Source organism: Homo sapiens, chromosome 17 (assembly GCF_000001405.40).
Source record: "Homo sapiens chromosome 17, GRCh38.p14 Primary Assembly".
NCBI lineage: Eukaryota > Metazoa > Chordata > Mammalia > Primates > Hominidae > Homo > Homo sapiens.
This window is the reverse complement of record NC_000017.11, coordinates 30,085,429-30,103,209: the sequence shown is the minus strand read 5'-3', so window position 1 is coordinate 30,103,209 and position 17,781 is coordinate 30,085,429. Positions and strand designations below refer to the sequence as shown.

The window sequence follows — 17,781 nt, the reverse complement described above, 5'->3', positions numbered from 1 at the left end:
AATTATTTATTTTAAAACATTTTAAACAAAAAATAGAAATTAACAATGAGTTAAAACCATTATAAAGAAAAGTCCTTTGGCCGGATGCAGTGGCTCACGCATGTAATCTCAACACTTGGGAGGACAAGGCAGGTGGATTGCTTGAGTCCTGGAGTTCAAAACCAGCCTGGGCAACATGGTCTGTCTCTACAAAAAATACAAAAATTAGCTGGGCATGGTGGTGTGGGCCTCTAGTGTCAGCTACTAGGGAGGCTCAGGTGGGAGGAGGGAGAATCACCTGAGCCTGAGAGGGAGAGGTTGCAGTAAGCCAAGATTGTGCCACTGTACTTCGGCCTGGGTGACAGAGTGAGACCTTGTCTCCAAAAAAAGAAACAAAGAAAAAAAGAAAAGTCCTTAGTCCTTTGGTATTTTTCTTTCTTTCTTTCTGTCTTTCAATGTCTCAACAGAATCATCTTTGATATTTTTCTTGCGCCCCAGAGACAGTTTTTTAAAAAATCTTCTGGGGTGCTTCCACTTAACTTTGGAGACCACCAAGTTAAAATATGAAAGAAATTGAATGGATAATGCTTTTCTAGATGATTAACATGCATTCAATTTTGCTACGTCTGAAATTCCTACTAAGACTAATGTAAAGGAAAAGAAAGAAGAAAAGAAAAAGAAAAAGAAGACATAAGGGCCGGGTATGGTGGCTCATGCCTGTAATCCCAGCTACTCAGGAGGCTGAGGCAGGAGAATCACCTAAGCCCAGGAGTTCGAGGTTACAGTGAGCCATGATCACACCACTGCACTCCAGCCTGGGTGACAGAGACAGACCCTGCCTCTATAATTAATTAATTAATTAATAAAAGAAGACATAAAACCAATGATAGAAAGATCAGGAGAAAAGAAACACCAATATTTAATTCCTACTCCCATTGCCTCAAAGTCCCAACAACTTCTTCTCCCATCTTCACTCTGGCTGATGACTCTGCTTTCAGCTTCTCTGTAAGATTGACACAATCAGAAGGCAACTTCCATAGACTCCCACCAGCACACCTACCCACTCACTCTCATCTGCACCCATATTCTCCTTCCGTAGACTTCTACCAGCACACCTACCCACTCACTCTCATCTGCACCCATGTTCTCTGTCCTCTTGCTGTCTTAAGCCAATTCCTCCCTTGGTGTGGTAGATCCAGGGTAGTCAAATAATTCATTGTTCAAATTGGTACACTTGAGAGAGAAAGAGGATGCTAACTGGACAAGTCACCAGAACAACAAGCAAAAACTTGGGCTGTTCCAAGGTAAACATAGAACGTATGGTTACTCTAACAACAGCCCATCCTCTCTGACGTGCTTGAGGACATTGTTTCAGGAATTCTCTGTCTTCAACATTGTCAACTTCTTGCTTTCTACAGGATTTCCCATCAGAATGAAACCTGCTGTTATCTCTCCCATCTGAGAAACAAAACAAAACCTTGACCCCATTTCCTCCTCCGGTTACCACACCATTCTTTGCTCCCCTTTGTGGCAAAACATTCAGAATCGTCTCTACTCAGTCTTCCCACCTAGGAGACTTTCCTCTCTTTGCCAATCATCTATTCACCAACCAATCTCGATTTTATATCTCCAGCTTAGACCTTTCTCGAAAACTCCAGATTTATTTAACCATCTACATAGTCACATCTCTACTTCCATATCTAATAGATATCTCAAACTCAGCATGTCAAAATCTGAACACTTCATCTCCCCCGACCAAAGCCTGCTCCACCTACGTGTTCTCCATCTCAGCTGATGGTAACTCCATCCTTCCAAACCATGGAGTCAACCTTGGCTCCTCTGTTTCTTTCTCATTCCACACTCAAACTGTCAAGATATATTTTGGCTCTGCCTCTCAAATATATATAATATGACCACTTTTCACCATTTCCACCAGATTCCTGCAACAACTCCTCTAGTTGGTCTCTCTGCTTCTCTTCTTGACCTCCAAAGTGTCTTCTCATTACAGCAGCAGGGTGATCCTTTTAAAACATAGGTCATATCGTTCCTCTGCTTAAAACCTTGCAATGGCTCTAATTCACTGGGTGTTGTGGCTCATGCTTGTAATCCCACACTTTGGAGGACAAGGCAGGAGGATCACCATAAGCCATAAAATCAAGACATTATGATAGTCTTCAAGACCCTAATTGATTCAGTCCTCCATTACCTCCTGAACTCATCTCCTTACTTACCTCCCGTTCTCTGACCCTGCTGCTGACACAGTGGCCTCCTTGTTGCTATTTGAAAACACTGGTTGTTTCTGCCTTAGGGCCTTTGCTTTGGCTGTTTTCTCTGCCTGGAATACTCTTTTTCTTTTCTTAGGATAAAATAACATCAAGCAACACCTGGAATATTCCTTGTACATTCATATGGCTGATTCCCTCACTTCCTTCACATCTTTGCTTAAATCTCACCTTTTTTTTTTTGAACGGAGTCTCACTCTGTCGCCTAGGTTGGAGCACAGTGGTGCGATCTTGGCTCACTGCAACCTCCGCCTCCTGGGTTGCAACAATTCACCTGCCTCAGCCTCCTGAGTAGCTGGGATTACAGGTGCCTGCCACCATGCCCAGCTAATTTTTGTATTTTTAGTAGAGATGGGGTTTCACATGTTAGCCAGGCTGGTCTTGAACTCCTGACCTCAGGTGATCCACCCACCTCAGCCTCTCAGAGTGCTGGGATTACAGGCGTGAGCCACCACGCCCGGCCTAAATCTCACCTTCTTGATAAGGCCTACCTGACTATTTAAATTTGCAGCCCGTGCCTCCTCCCTGCTTCCCACCTTTGCATCCACTGCCTTACTCGACTTTGCTTTTTCCCCCATAGCACTTATTTTCTACCATAGTGTATAATTTATTATGTTTATTGCTTATCCTCTGCTCTCCCCTTTAGAATGTAGGCTTCTTGAGGGCGGGGATCTTGTTCTATGTCATTCACTACTGTACCCTAGGAACCTAGAATAGGGCCTGCCACATGGATAGCACTGAGATAATTTTAGTTGAGTGAAAGACAGAACAACAAAATTTGAAAAATATAAAGCAGATGAAGAAGTGGTAGCAGACAGGAGAAAAGTGGAATCCTAAATCAGCAGTGGAGAAAGCCTAGAACCAACCTTCTGTATATCCCAGAATCCTCAAAGGGTTCAGAAGGGTTTGTTGAAGCTGTTTAGGAAAGAGGAGAGAAAATATAGGGATTTTGAAGACTGAATCTAGGAGATCCAATGTCTGAATAATAGGAATTCCAAAGAGTGAATACAGAAAAAAGAGGGCAGGGCCACCACCAGCCTTATAGGTCACCTTTGTGTAAAGGTGAGAAAAACACACCTACTGTGAGGGAACGCGCTCTGTGGGCACACAGCTTGGTGAATGAAAAAGATGCTCCTCCTCCAAGCAGATGTAGCTTCAGGTTAAGGCACACAGTCTAGTGAATGGAATCCGGGATACATTTTGGCCCCCACCCACCTCCTCAGCAGAGCACCTTTGTGCAGTGTACAAACTGCACAGCTGTAAGTAGCAATCTTGATGCCATGGAGGAAGTCATCCAGCACTTAACAACCTAGATTTCACAATTGAAAAAGCCCAGCCAGTATCCAGATCGATGGATGAAAACAGACCCATAAAAAGGCATATCATTATGAAATTTTTGCAACTTTGGGGATGAAGGGATGATTCTACAGCTTCTGGAGAGATATAAAACAAAGAAAGGTCACACTGATTTAGAAAGGCTTCAGACTTCTTAACAGCAATCTTTGCCTATTTTTTTTTTTAAGAGATTAAGTCTTACTTTGTTGCCCAGGCTGGAGTGCAGTGGCACGATCATGGCCCACTGCAGCCTTAACTGGGCTCAGCTTCTTGAGTAGCTGGAACTACAGGCATATGCCACCAGACCTGGCAAAGTTTTTCATTTTTTTTGTGGGGACAGGATCTCACTATGTTGCCCAGGCTGTCAACAGCAATCTTTAAAGTTGGATGACAATGGAGTCTTTTCCAAAAAAAGTTAAACATAGAGTTACCATATGTTTGCACTCCAAAGGTATGTATACAAGAGAGCTGAAAATACATGTTTACACAAAAACTTGTAAACAAATGTTAATGGAGGCATAATTCAGTAGCCAAAAAGTGGAAACAACCTACATGTGCATCAACTGATAGATGAATAAACAGAATGTTGTCTATCATAGAATATTATTCAGCCACACACGCAAAAATGAAGTACTGATACAAGCTAGAACATAGATGGACCTTGAAAACATGCTGAGTGAAAGAAGCCAGATACAAACGGCTACCTATTGTGTGATTCCATGTATATGAAATGTCCAGAATAGGTAAATCCATAGAGACATAAAGTAGATTAGTGGCTCCCAGGAGCTAGAGGGAGAGGAAAGAAGTGACTGCTAATGGGTACAGGGTTTCTATTTGGGGTGATGAAAATGTTCTAAAATTAGATAGTGGTGATAACTGCACAATCTGGGATATATATTCAAAACCACTAAATTCTACACTTTAAAATGTACAAAGAGTGAAATTTATGGCATGTGAATTATGTCTCAGTTTTTAAAAAAGACAATGGAAAGCCAGGTGTGGTGGCAGCAGTCCTGTAGCTACTTGGGAGGCTGAGGTGGAAGGACAGCTTAAGCCCAGGAGTTTTTTTTTTTTTTTCTCTGTAGACAGGGTCTCGTTCTGTGGCCCAGGCTGGAGTGTAGTGGTGCAAACATGGCTCACTGCAGCCTCAACCTCTTGGGTTCAAGCGATCCTCCCACCTCAGCTCTCCTGACTAGCTGGAACTACAGGCACATGCCACTACTCCCAGCTTTTTTTTTTTTCCAAGTTTTTTGCAGAGACAGGGTCTCAGTATGTTGCCCAGGCTGCTCTTGAACTCCTGGGCTCAAGCGATCAGCCCACCTCAGCCTCCCAAAGTGCTGGGATTACAGGCATGAGCCACTGATAGAGAAAGAATTGAAGCCTGGGTATGGTGGCTCACGTCTGTAATCCCAGCACTTTGGGAGGCTGAGGTGGGAGAATCCCTTGAGGTCAGGAGTTCAAGACTAGCCTGGTAATATAGTGAGACCCCCACCTCTACAAAAAATAAAAAAATTAGTTGGGTGTGGTGGCACGTGCCTATAGTCCCAGCTACTTGGAAACCTGAGCCCAGAGGATTGCTTGAGCCAGGGAGGTCGAGGCTGCAGTGAGCTGTGATTGTGGCACTGCACTCCAGCCTGAGTGATAGAGGGGGGCCCTGTCTCAAAACACAAAACAAAACAAAAACAGAGGAACTGAGATCTCTAGAAGAGATGGCTTTGGGAAAAGAAAATAAATTAGAACTAATAAATTACCTGATAGAACTGTCTTATGGGAGAGACAAATGGAAGGGGTGGGAATTATCAAGAAGTACAAATAAAACTAAGAAAGTTTAAAAATAAAAGACAATTATTTACTTCAGGAAAAACAAAAAAAATGAGGAATCAAAATATGCTACAATCCTCAGCTGTGTATAATATTTGCATAGGCAAAATCATGTAAACATTGCATCTTTAACCCCAAATTATAAATATAACTACATTGGGAGGATGGGGTAAGAGAATGGTGGTATAACAGAACAAAATCTTCATTTATAATCAGAGGAAATTGACTGATAAGGTTTAAAATTGATGAATCAAAAGACAGCAATATGTGCATAACAGAAATAGATGTGCAAATGCCAAGAAGAAACAGTGAAAGAACAAAACATGGTTGCCCCTGGCGAGGGGGACTGAAGAGTATGAAAGAGAAGATATGGGCTAGTGACTCTTTTTAGGCTTTTAGTTCTATGTGACCTTTTCAATTACTTTAATAAAAAATTTAAAGCCAGCTCAGTGGCTCACGCCTGTAATCCCAGCACTTTGGGAGGCCGAGGGGGCGGATCATCTGAGCTCAGGAGTTTGAGACCAGTCTGACCAAGACGGAGAAAGCCTGCCTCTACTAAAAATACAAAATTAGCTGGGCAGGGTGGCACATGCCTGTAATCCCAGCTACTCGGGAGGCTGAGGCAGGAGAATCGCTTGAACCTGGGAGGCAGAGGTTGCGGTGAGCCGAGATCGCGCCACTGCACTTCAGCCTGGGCAACAAGAGCGAAACTCCATCTCAAAAAAAAAAAAATATATATATATGTATATGTATATGTATATGTATATGTATATGTATATGTATATGTATATGTATATGTATATGTATATAATTGTGACCGGGGTGGTGGCTCATGCCTGTAACCCCAGCACTTTGGGAGCCATGGCAGGTGGATCACCTGAGGTCAGGAGTTCGAGACCAGCCTGGTCAACATGGTGCAACCCCGTCTCTACTAAAAATACAAAAATTAGCCAAGCGTGGTGGCACGTGCCTGTAATCCCAGCTACTGGGGAGGCTGAGGCAGGAGAATCTCTTGAACCCGGGAGTCAGAGGTTGCAGTGAGCTGAGATTGGGCCACTGCATTCCAACCTGGGTGACAGAGCAAGACTCCATCTCAAAAAAAAAAAAAAAAAAAATATATATATATATATATATATATATGCTTTCAGGATAAAAGACAGTTTTAACAGCCACTAAAATTTTAAACAATGAGTGTCAAATTAAATAGAAAAATGTTCTTATTAAACCAAGTTTTTTTTCTAGAGACGGTATCCACTATGTTGCCCAGGCTGGAGTGCAGTGCTATTCACAGGCACCATCATTGTGCACCATAGTCTTGAACTTCTGGCCCCAAGCAATCCTTGTGCCTCAGCTTCCCAAGTAGCTGGGACCACAGGTGCATGCCACCATGCTCCACGTCTCATCAAGCTCATTTTTAAAAGTCTTTAATCAGATATCAAAGTAGCAGTAATGTTATCTATACATGTAAAACTGTATTTAGTTGTTCCTCTTAATAACTACTGTTAGAAAATTTCAAAATTTAAATCACAAGAAGTGATAAGAAACATAAAGAGAATGGCTGGTTTGATTGTCTTTTTTCCTCTGAATAACTTGGAACTGAAAAGCAGGGGGTTTGCATGCATGGGAAATAGGTCAAACATCCAGGCCTGAGATCTTTACCCAGAACAGAGTGTTATACCCTTCTCTTGTGCATTGTATGAGTACTTGTCTAATATCATAACTCGTAACTAAAAGGCATTTTTAAGGGGCTCTTGCCAGGACAAAGGAAATCTGTTCTCAAGCTGAACTGATATCTCCTCCTCCATGGCCTAAAATCTGTGAGCAACTTGTAAATAAATGGTGCACTCTTAGCTCTCTATTAAACCCAAGTCTAGCTGCGATGGCAAGTTTTTTCCTTAAGAGGGAGCCAACAATTCCCATTCAAGATGACTAAGTCCAAAAAGACTGCAGAGAACTGTAATTGAATCCAAACCAATGTTAGCATACAGAAGGTTTAAATGAATAGGACAGAACAATGTTCTTGGTGTCTGGTTGTCCATTTTGGCTTGACCCATTTCAAAGAAAAAGGCATGTCCTCAGAGTTGCAGATTCAGTGCTGTTTCCTACTTGTTATTTCTGGATTGTCGGTAGAATCATTCTACCAAGGTTCCTGTCAGGTCCTTAGCTGTGCAGTGGGGAGTTAAGGAATGAGTCATGTTCCATTTTTGTAATGGAGTTGCAGGGAGCGTGGCACCTATGAGAGCCACCATGATGGCAGCAGTAGCAATTAGGGAAGGATCTCCCAGGGAAGGCGAATCTTGAAGATAAAAGTTAATTAGGACTGTGAGTCCAGCAGTCCTCCCCTGAAGGCACCTTCCTTCATTGTCACCCTTAGAGGATCATGGTGTCATTTTATTGAGGAAGCTGGTGGGTTTCTTTATAAATGGTGACAGCACTGAGCCTCTGGCTGCTTTGACAGAGTTGGAGCTCTGGGACCCCTGTAGGAGAAGTGGAGGGCCGGGGGCACTCCTGCCAAGACCAATGTCTGTGGACTTGTAAACACTTGGATTTAGGGGAGGAGGTATGGTCACTTGGCAGAGACCCAGGTTCTACACAGAAAAGTGATTCTGGTTATACTTGCAATAGGGGACAGCTCTTCTTGCCTCTGGGTCTAAGAACATTTCCAAACAGGCAACATCTGTCTAAAATTCCTGGGAGGGAGACATGCAGCAGTTATGGGGCATCCTGAACGACCAGGTGAGGCTGGCAGCAGAGGTCCCAAGTGGAGTGGGGAGAATAGGTCCTTGAGAGGGTGGTCACGTCATGAATCTCCAGGTAGAAAAGACCAACTACTAGGAGTATCTTAGGCAAAGTGACAGAGAATAGTAGGCTATTGATGTACTACTGCAAACACAGCTGTCTGGGAGTGCTCACTGGAGTCAGAGGGTCCCCCACAGGGAAGTATGTCAGCAGCACTCACCTGCAATGGCACAGTCTTGGGAGGCCAGGCCTGCCCAACAAAGCTACCCAATGTTACTTCACAGATGACTGGCTCAATCTAAAGGCAAGACACAGCTGCCTAGAGTTTCATCAGAATAAAAAAAGTATCTCCTTTTTGTTGTTGTTGTTTTTGAGACAGGATCTCATTCTGTTGCCCAGGCTGGAGTGCAGTGGCATGATCACATTTCACAGCAGCCTCAACCTCCTGGGCTCAAGTGATCTCCCACCTCAGCCTCCTGAGTAGCTGGGATTACAGGCGTGCACCACCACACCCAGTTATTTTTTTTTTTTTTTTTTTTTTTTTTTGGAGAGACAAGATTTTGCCATGTTGTCCACGCTAGTCTCCAACTTCTGGGCTCAAGCAATCTGCCCACGTTGGCCTCCCAAAGTGTCGGGATTACAGGTGTGAGTCACTGTGCCTGGCCAAAAATACCCTTTTCTTTCTTTTTAAAAAAATTATTATTATACTGTAAGTTTTAGGGCACATGTGCACAACATGCAGGTTTGTTACATAGGTATACATGTGCCATGTTTGTTTGCTGCACCCATCAACTCGTCATTTACATTAGGAAATACTCTTTTCCTGAACTAGGATGAAGTGGGGGTGAGAGTTGGCAGCGGAAGCCCTAAGAAAGTATGGACACATTACCAGTCCTAATTCTGCCCTTTTGGTAAAATAATAGTTTGGAAGGCGTGGTGGGTTAGGAGCTATGCTATATAGTCCAGCAGTCTCTGCCTGTCACAGGCTGAACCTACAGGTATTATTGGTGACATTTCATTCTGGGTAGATTCGTGGAGTAGGGCCCTTACTTAAAGCTGCTAGGCCAGGTAAACTTCCAGCAGCAGATTGCCCTGCCTGAAGACTCCTCTCCTTCTGGCACAAACAGAAAGGCACCCCGAAGAATTCCTCTCCCTTCCCCTAAGCTGGAAGCTTAGAATTTCCTGATATAACTGCATCTGAAGGAGAGAGGGTTGGTATCTGGGTGACCTACGAACTTTCTTGATTGCTGCGGAGACTGTGGTTAACACTAAAGGCTTGGCGGTGGTGATTGGGGAGCCTATGGGCTATTTTCTGGCTGAGTCGGGCTCCGTTAACTGCAATTAATATTTCTTCCACCAGAGGGCACTATTGGAAAGCAGAAAGTGGTGGGTAGCGTTGGTGGTCAAGGCTTCTCAGGAATAAGCTAGGATAGTTCCCCGTTAATCCAGAAACTCTTCTGCGTTGGTCTAGAGCCTCCACAGATAGTAGGAGAGCGGGAAGAGGAGGAAAGGGATAGATTTAGTGAGCAATTTCTACAGAGCCATTTTCCCAATTATGATTACTTTTCATAACAAAGAAAAAAACAAACTATAAATGAATTCCTCATCACAGCCTGAGGCCTCTGGTGGGAGAATACAGGTCAGTGGAGGACCTTGGGCCTCTGTTTGTATATTTACTCTCATATGTGGCCTATTCCCTGTGGCCAAACAGCTAATCGTCTTCTCCAACCTGAGAGCCTCGCTGCTCTCCATTCTTGGTGATTCTCCTCCTTGAAAAAGTCTATTATTTTCTTTGGTTATTTATTAAGCTAAAGATAGCCTTTTTGCTTAAAATTTCCATTCTCATTGCAGCCCCATTTGCATTTTTAAAAATAAATAATGCACATGTAGTCAATAAGTGGGAGATAGATGTGCTTTTGAATTCTCAAAATGTGGCATAGACAATGACTTTGGGGAATGATGCAATAGATTACATAGTGTCCCTCCTCTTAGAAGACTTATAACTATTTTCTCCTAAAAACTGAATTTATGACCCACTTGCTTTATCCTAATAAAAATCACAACTGTGTTTTATTGCTGTTGGCATAGATTTAGGCTGTAATTAAGTGGAAATTTACCTCTGATATATTCATCAATAAGCTGTACATTAACTTCCACATGCTTGGCAGTTGGATCAAAGGCACAAATATTGTTGACTAAATATTTGTTAACATACTGTGAACAAACAACAAGAGAAAATTTATGGGATCACCAGGAAGCAGAAATACAGTGCCCAGTTCAACAGCTTACATAATTCCATTTATATAGATTTTAAAATAGGCAAAACCAATCAATGGTGTTAGAAGTGAAGATGATGGTTACCCATGGCCGGGTGTGGTGGCTCACGCCTGTAATCCCAGCACTTTGAGAAGCCCAGGTGGGAGGACCACCTGAGGTCAGGAGTTCGAGACCAGCCTGGCTAACATGGTGAAACCCAGTTTCAACTAAAAATACAGAAAATTAGCTGGGCGTGGTGGCGGGCACCTGTAATCCCAGCTACTCGAGAGGCTGAGGCAGGAGAATTGCTTGAACCCAGGAGGTGGAGGTTGCAGTGAGCCGAGATAGCGCCATCGCACTCCAGCCTGGGCAACAAGAGTGAAACTCCGTCTCAAAAAAAAGATGATGGTTACCCTTGGGGTGGGTGGGGTGAAGGGATGATGAGGAAGGGTACAAAGGAGAGCTTTTGGGATTCCATAAATGCTCTATTTCTTGATCTAGGTCTGGTTACGTGAACGTGTTCCACTCAGTAAAAATTCTTGCATTTGTACCCTTATGATTTATGCAATTATGATTTGTACAGTTAAATTTGTTTAGGCGATTCTTCAATTTAAAAGGTGCTTTTTAAAAAAAAACTTACAAATTTACACTTATCCCAACTTCCAAAGTCACTTGAAAATTCCAACTCTGGATGAAAGAACAAGATAACCGCCTTCAGGATGTCACGCACTAGTTTCACGTTGGCTTCCAACTCCATAGATTTGCTGTCTTGAGGAGAATTTGGCTCTGTTACAAGAGTATGGTCATAGAGCAACAGTGACACAAATTCCATGGAATTGAGTAGTTGGATGCTTTCCTGTAGCTCGAGCAGCATGATTCGGAAGAAGAGAATTCCTGCCCGCTGGACTTCCCTGACATTTTCAATCTCTGGAATAACAAAATGATAGCTCACATTGCTGTTCAGTCTAATGTACATTGCTGTACATTACTTTTTCATAGGATTCTGAACATATTATAGTAAATGTTTTTGTCAAGAAAAAGCAGACCATAGCCTTTGGTTTTAAACAATCTCAGTTTCTTTAGCCATGAAATCAAAAGAAAGCAATGAAATTACTCCCGGTGAAGCTCATAGGAAGAGGCTTTGAGAAAAGGCAAAAACTTGGGTTTTAGAGTTAGACCCTGGTTTGAACACACGCTGTCACCCTTATTAGTCTATTGTCTCTCTGAATATCCTTTTCCTCTTCTGTGAAAATGGGCTTAATCCCTACTTCCTTGGTTAGCTGTGAGAATTAGAGAAGATGATATATGTAAAAGTGCTTAGTTACAGGCGTTACACATAGTGAACACTTAGGAGACATGAAATTTCTCCTTTCTTCTTATCCCACTCTATGACATAGTTACAAATCTTTTGGCTCAATCCCACATAGTGTTACTCTGCTAATTCTATTCACTTCATTCTAGGAAGCCAAAGGTTTCCAGGCCTTCTTCCTCCCTCCCTCTCTCCAGCTGGCATTGCGCTGAGAGTAGCCTAGTGGATGTGGAATCACAAAAACTAAAGTCTAATCCTGGCTCTCCCACCAGCTTGCTATTGGACCTTAGATAATCCACTTTACTTTTGCAGTCTTTAGCATCTTTATCTGTAAAACGAGATGTTCTGATTACTTAATGCTGTATAACATAGTGGGAAGAGCACCCAAATCTAGGTTCAAATCCAGCCCTCACCATTTCTTAACTGTGTGACTGGGGGCAATTTGCTTACTTTCCTCACCTGTAAGTGGGGTATCACTATTCATCTCATAGGGTTATGGCAAGGATTGAATGAAATAATATCTGAAGCACATAATGGGGGTATTTAATACATGCTAGTTCTAGCTTGCCTTTATGAGCCCTTCCAGCTCTAAAACTGTAGGAATCTAACCATGAGAATGTGATTCCAGGCTGTTTCCTTTAATTTGTAGACATTACTCGTCAGCGCAAGACTGCATAAGGGAATTCCTTTTATATGAAAAGATGTGTATGTTGTAACAATTCATTTTAGAAAGTGCATATTTCATTGCACTCCCTGTGATTTCCCCAAAACCTATTAAACCTGTGAATTTAGACTGATGCCACATGAACGATACCTAAGATATATTTTTTCTTTATCTCTCCAGAGAACTCGCCAAGTATTTCATAGCAGGCCACTTGGACCACTTTCATCATTTTCTGTAGATCTTTATATTCTTGACACAACAACATCCTATTTTGGCCGATGTTAAAATCGAGGACTCCCAGAGCCTCTCCTGTTCTCTCACGAAGTGGAACTACTATATGCGTTTCTCCACAGGCAGAAGCCAGAACAACTTCTGAACTGTCAGTACATTTAAAGAGGAAATCTCTGAAATCAAAACCAAATAAGCACAAGGATATTAAACATCTGTCTGTTCACATCATTCCACCAAAACATATTGAATTACTCTCTTGTGCCTACCTCACTTCCACCATGCCAGCCCTTCTTGCTGTTTCATCTGCCTGGAGCATTCTAGCCCTTGATTTCACATGGCTGTCTGTTTGCTCACTCATGTCTCTGCTCAAACATCCCCTCGGCAGAGAAGGCGTCCCTGACCACCCAATCTCAAGCAGCGCCCAAGCCACTCTCCATCATGATACTTTGCTTCGTTGTCTTGGCTTATCTGAAGGTGTTCATTTTTTGTTTACCTATTGTCCATTATGCTTTGGTGGAGTGCCAGCAGAAATGATGAGTGTGTTAGGTCGGGTTCCCTAGAAGCAGAGCCTGAGACAGGGATGCTTATGCAAGTGATTTACTGAGCGAGTGTTCGCTGGAGAAACCTGTGAGGGACTGAATGAAGCAGGACAGGCAAGGGGAAGAAGCTAAGTAAGAATGTAATTTCACATGAAGTCTAGCCTCGGCCTGATCCCAAGGGGAGCTCTGAAAGGTCAATTGTACCAAAGAATCTGTCCCACCTTGAGGCAAAGGGAGGGGTTTTTTGCATCCTAGCACTAGTCAGTCATTGGCTCTAAGCTGCCCTGGGTGTGTGTGGGCAGTTTGGGCTGGGGGAGTGTTTACCCATCTCTTAGGTAACTCCTGGTGAAGAGCTCCAATCGCTCAAGGGCGCTCCTCCAGAGAAAGTTACGGTGTGAGCCAGGCCGTGCCTACAGCAGCTGGTAAAAGGCATTTTGGGGATCTGGGTAGAGCATCTATAGCATCTGCCTCAGTGAGAGACTTGAGATTTTCATGGAAATGTGGTGGCTGCTTCTTTCTCTTGGTGAGGCACAGACACACCTCTTTTTCTTTCTTTTCCCTTTCCCCATCTACATTAATTCTGATATGCCATTTCTTTAAGGTATTTGTAAAAAATTGGTACTTTGCATCCTCGAAAAGCGCATTTATAGTTTCTATATCAATCCTACAGTGACAGGTAAGATGATGTCCTTCTGCTATTCCCACCCCTTTTGCTGCTGCTGAGCCACCACTTTGTGTTGTGTCTCGATGAGTGCCATAGTAATAATGCATCATACTAGGCTTTCCAGGAATAACAATAGAGCCCATTGGTCAACTGACTTCCTCCAAAGACATCTGTTCTAAGTTACACACAAGAATCCAGGGCTATGCATGTTCCCACTCATAGGTGGGAATTGAACAATGAGAACACTTGGACACAGGGTGGGGAACATCACACACCGGGGCCTGTCGTGGGGTGGAGGGAAGGGGGAGGGATAGCATTAGTAGATATACCTAATGTAAATGACAAGTTAACGGGCGCAGCACACCAACATGGCACATGTATACATATGTAACAAACCTGCACGTTATGCACATGTACCCTAGAACTTAAAGTATAATTTAAAAAATACATAAAAAAAAAGAATCCAGGGCTATGAGTCTGGGTATTACAAGGACTTCTGTAAAACTTTTGACCAGCACAAGGAATAACTATGTGGAAAAGAGCTTGAGATTGAACCAACATTCTGGCATGAGGCCAAACTAAAATTTAATTGACATATGTAATTAAATGTTGAGTTAGCCTACTGGTCTGGGATTACTGAGTTACCGCCTACTCAACGACAGTGACCCCCTAAGAAGCAGTCATTCCCTTTTGCAATAGGTGTGTTCTCAGTTAAGATCTGTTTACATTTGTACACATTTTAGTAGTATTCCTTGCATTTGACAAGTGAGAGTCATTCTAAGTAATTTAGAACCGAGTACTTATTAAATACAACATGCTTTGCCTTCTCTCCAACTCTGCATGTCTTCTTTAAATAAAAAAGACATTCACAGTCTTGCTAATATTCACACATGAGCTCTGATGAGTGATGTGAATGTATTATTCATAATCATGGTGGGCTTTTGTTGAATTCCATATTTACAAGGAAATTCATGGAAAATAAAACACTTTCATGCTTTAAAACATGCAATTTTAAAATAAAATGCCAATGAAATCTGTTTTAAAAAGGACTTGGGAAGGCTGGGCACCATAAAGAGACCCTGTCTCTTAAAAAAAAAAATTAAATGAGCTGGGCTTAGCAAATACGTGTAGTCCCAGCTATTTGGGAAGCAGAGGCAGGAGGTTAGCTTGAGTCCAGGAGTTTGAGACTGCCATGAGCTAAGATCATAGCACTGCACTCCCACCTGGGTGACACAGTGAGAACTCATCTCTCAAGAAAAAAGGATTTGGGAAAAAAAGAGTAAATATGTCCCAGGCAGACAACATTCTGCAGAAATTTTTCTTTAAAAGCCAATCAGAATAAAATTCAGTGTGATCATTAGAGAAATGCAAATCAAAACCCCAATGAGACATCATCTCATACCAGTCAGAATGGTGATCTTAAGTCAAAAAACAAGAGATGCTGGCAAGACTGTGGAAAAGTAGGAACGCTTTTACACTGCTGGCGGGAATGCAAATTAGTTTAACCATTGTGGAAGACAGTGTGGTGATTCCTCAAAGGCCTAGAACCTGAAATACCATTTGACCCAGCAATCCCATTAGCGGGTATATACCCAAAGGAATATAAATCATTATATTATAAAGATACATGCACACATATGTTCATTGCAGCACTATTCACAGTAGCAAAGACATGGAATCAACCCAAATGCCCATCAATGATAGAATGGATAAAGAAAATGTGGTATACACACACATCATGGAATACTATGCAGCCATAAAGAGGAATGAGATCATGTCCTTTGCAGGGACATGGATGGAACCGGAAGTCATTATCTTCAGCAAACTAACACAGGAACAGAAAACCAAACACCACATGTTCTCACTTATAAGTGGGAGCTGAACAATGAGAACACATGGACACAGGGAAGGGCACACACTGGGGCCTGTCAAGGGGGCGAGGGTAGGGAGAACATTAGGAAAAAATAGCTAATGCATGCGGGGCTTAATACCTAGGTGATGGGTTGATAGGTGCAGCAAACCACCATGGCACAAGTTTACCTGTGTAACAAACCTGCACGTCCTGCACATGTATCACAGAACTTAAAATAAAATAAAATTAAATTAAAAAGAAAGAATAAAAGTCAGCGTGTATGAGCAAGAGTCAGAAGCTGTGTCTTTCAGGTCTACTATTGTACCAGAAGGATGTGTTCTAGCAGTCAAACAAAACAGACATGTCTCTAACCTGAAGATGCATGACTTCCTGTGGATGGTAGGAGGATTTTTGTGGATTTCTGTTAGACCCAGCTGCCCTGTAACCATCATGTTGCGTAAAACATAGTCTGAATCCTTGAAAAGAGGAAGGCATTTCATTAGGAGTAATTAGACCTCATATTCTCATTAAAGCTTTTGGGGACAGATAAATAGAAAAAAAATAGGAAAGCTTAGATGACCTCTGGCTTTAAGGACAGTGACATTTTACTTAGTACCATTAGAGAACAGGATAATTTTTTTTTTTCGAGATGGAGTTTCACTCTTGTTGCCCAGGTTGGAGTGCAATAGCACGATCTTGGCTCACCACAATCTCTGCCTCCTGGGTTCAAGCAATTCTCCTGCCTCAGCCTCCCAAGTAGCTGGGATTATAGGCATGCACCACCATACCCAGCTAATTTTGTATTTTTGGTAGAGACAGAGTTTCACCATGTTGACCAGGCTGGTCTTGAACTCCTCACCTCATGTGATCCACCTGCCTTGGCCTCCCAAAGTGCTGAGATTACAGGCGTGAGCCACCACACCCGGCCCCGGCTAATTTTTTTTTTTGTATCTTTAGTAGAGACAGGGTTTAACCATGTTGGCCAGGCTGGTCTCGAACTCCTGACCTCAGGTGATCCACCCACCTCGACCTCCCAAAGTGCTGGGATTACAGGTGTGAGCCACCACCTGGCCAATTTACTTTCTTCACTTCGCTATTGGGACGACACTCTCTCCTGGTTCTCCTTCTACCTCACTAAACAATCTTCATTCTCCCTGCTTCTTTATCTCCCTTACTTCTAAGAAGTTTTCAAACTGTAGGTCAACCCACAACTTACATGTGGGTTGTGAAAATATTTTAATGAGTCTTGATCAATATTTTTTCGTAGAAACTAGTTTATAAGAACGTATATTAACATATTCTGTAAATACAGTAACTGTAGGAAACACAAATTCAATTAAGAGATGTAAAGAGGGGTTTTTATGAATCATTCCTTTAAAAAAAAAATTCTTGGGGCATGCCTGTAGTCTTAGCTACCCCGGAGGTTGAGGCAGGAGGATCGCTTGAGTCTCGGAGTTCAAGGTTACTGTGAGCTCTGATCATGTCACTGCACTTCAGCCTGGGCAACAGAGTGAGACCTTGTCTCTAAAAAAATAAAAATAAAGATAACTAATTATTGGAACAAATTAAAAATATGATAAGAGGATCCATAGGGGCTGCATGTTGAATGGTGCTTGGAAGAGGAACAGCTGTTTTGTAATGTGAAATTTCCTCTTGCCTCTATACTCCATGACATCAAGGGTTCTTCCAAACTCTTTAGAAGGGAAATGTTGTCAACGTTATCCTTGGAAAACTGTTAAGATTATCGCACATTGACGATTGGACTTCTAGCTTCTTTCCAAATTTATTTCTTTTCTTTTCTTTTTTTTTTTTTTTTTTTGAGACGGAGTCTCGCTGTGTCGCCCAGGCTGCAATGCAGTGGCGTGATCTCGGCTCAGTGCAAGCTCTGCCTCTTCCGGGTTCACGCCATTCTCCTGCCTCAGCCTCCCAAGAAGCTGGGACAGGCGCCCGCCACCGCGCCCGGCTAATTTTTTTGTATTTTTAGTAGAGACGGGGTTTCACCATGTTAGCCAGGATGGTCTCGATCTCCTGACCTCGTGATCTGCCCGCCTCAGCCTCCCAAAGTGCTGGGATTACAGGCGTGAGCCATGTAAACTGACATACTCACAGA

The 17,781-nt window shown here is 42.6% G+C and overlaps 1 protein-coding gene across 11 annotated transcripts in view; it reads right to left on the bottom strand.

Annotated features, from left to right (window-relative positions):
- EFCAB5 (EF-hand calcium binding domain 5) overlaps positions 1 to 17,781 on the bottom strand; it is a 178,550-nt gene that overhangs the window by 5,243 nt on the left and 155,526 nt on the right. For 7 of the 11 annotated variants that reach the window (XM_024450742.1, XM_024450743.1, XM_011524759.2 and 4 more), the window contains 4 exons: positions 16,044 to 16,147; positions 12,536 to 12,789; positions 11,053 to 11,339; positions 10,274 to 10,370 (listed from right to left, as the gene is read on the bottom strand). In XM_024450742.1, coding sequence (XP_024306510.1) covers positions 10,274 to 10,370; positions 11,053 to 11,339; positions 12,536 to 12,789; positions 16,044 to 16,147 — 742 coding nt within the window. Of the gene's footprint in view, positions 1 to 8,906; positions 9,631 to 10,273; positions 10,371 to 11,052; positions 11,340 to 12,535; positions 12,790 to 16,043; positions 16,148 to 17,781 lie in introns of those variants that run through there. The other 4 variants (XM_011524763.3, XM_047435947.1, XM_047435946.1 and 1 more) reach the window with 4 other exon arrangements.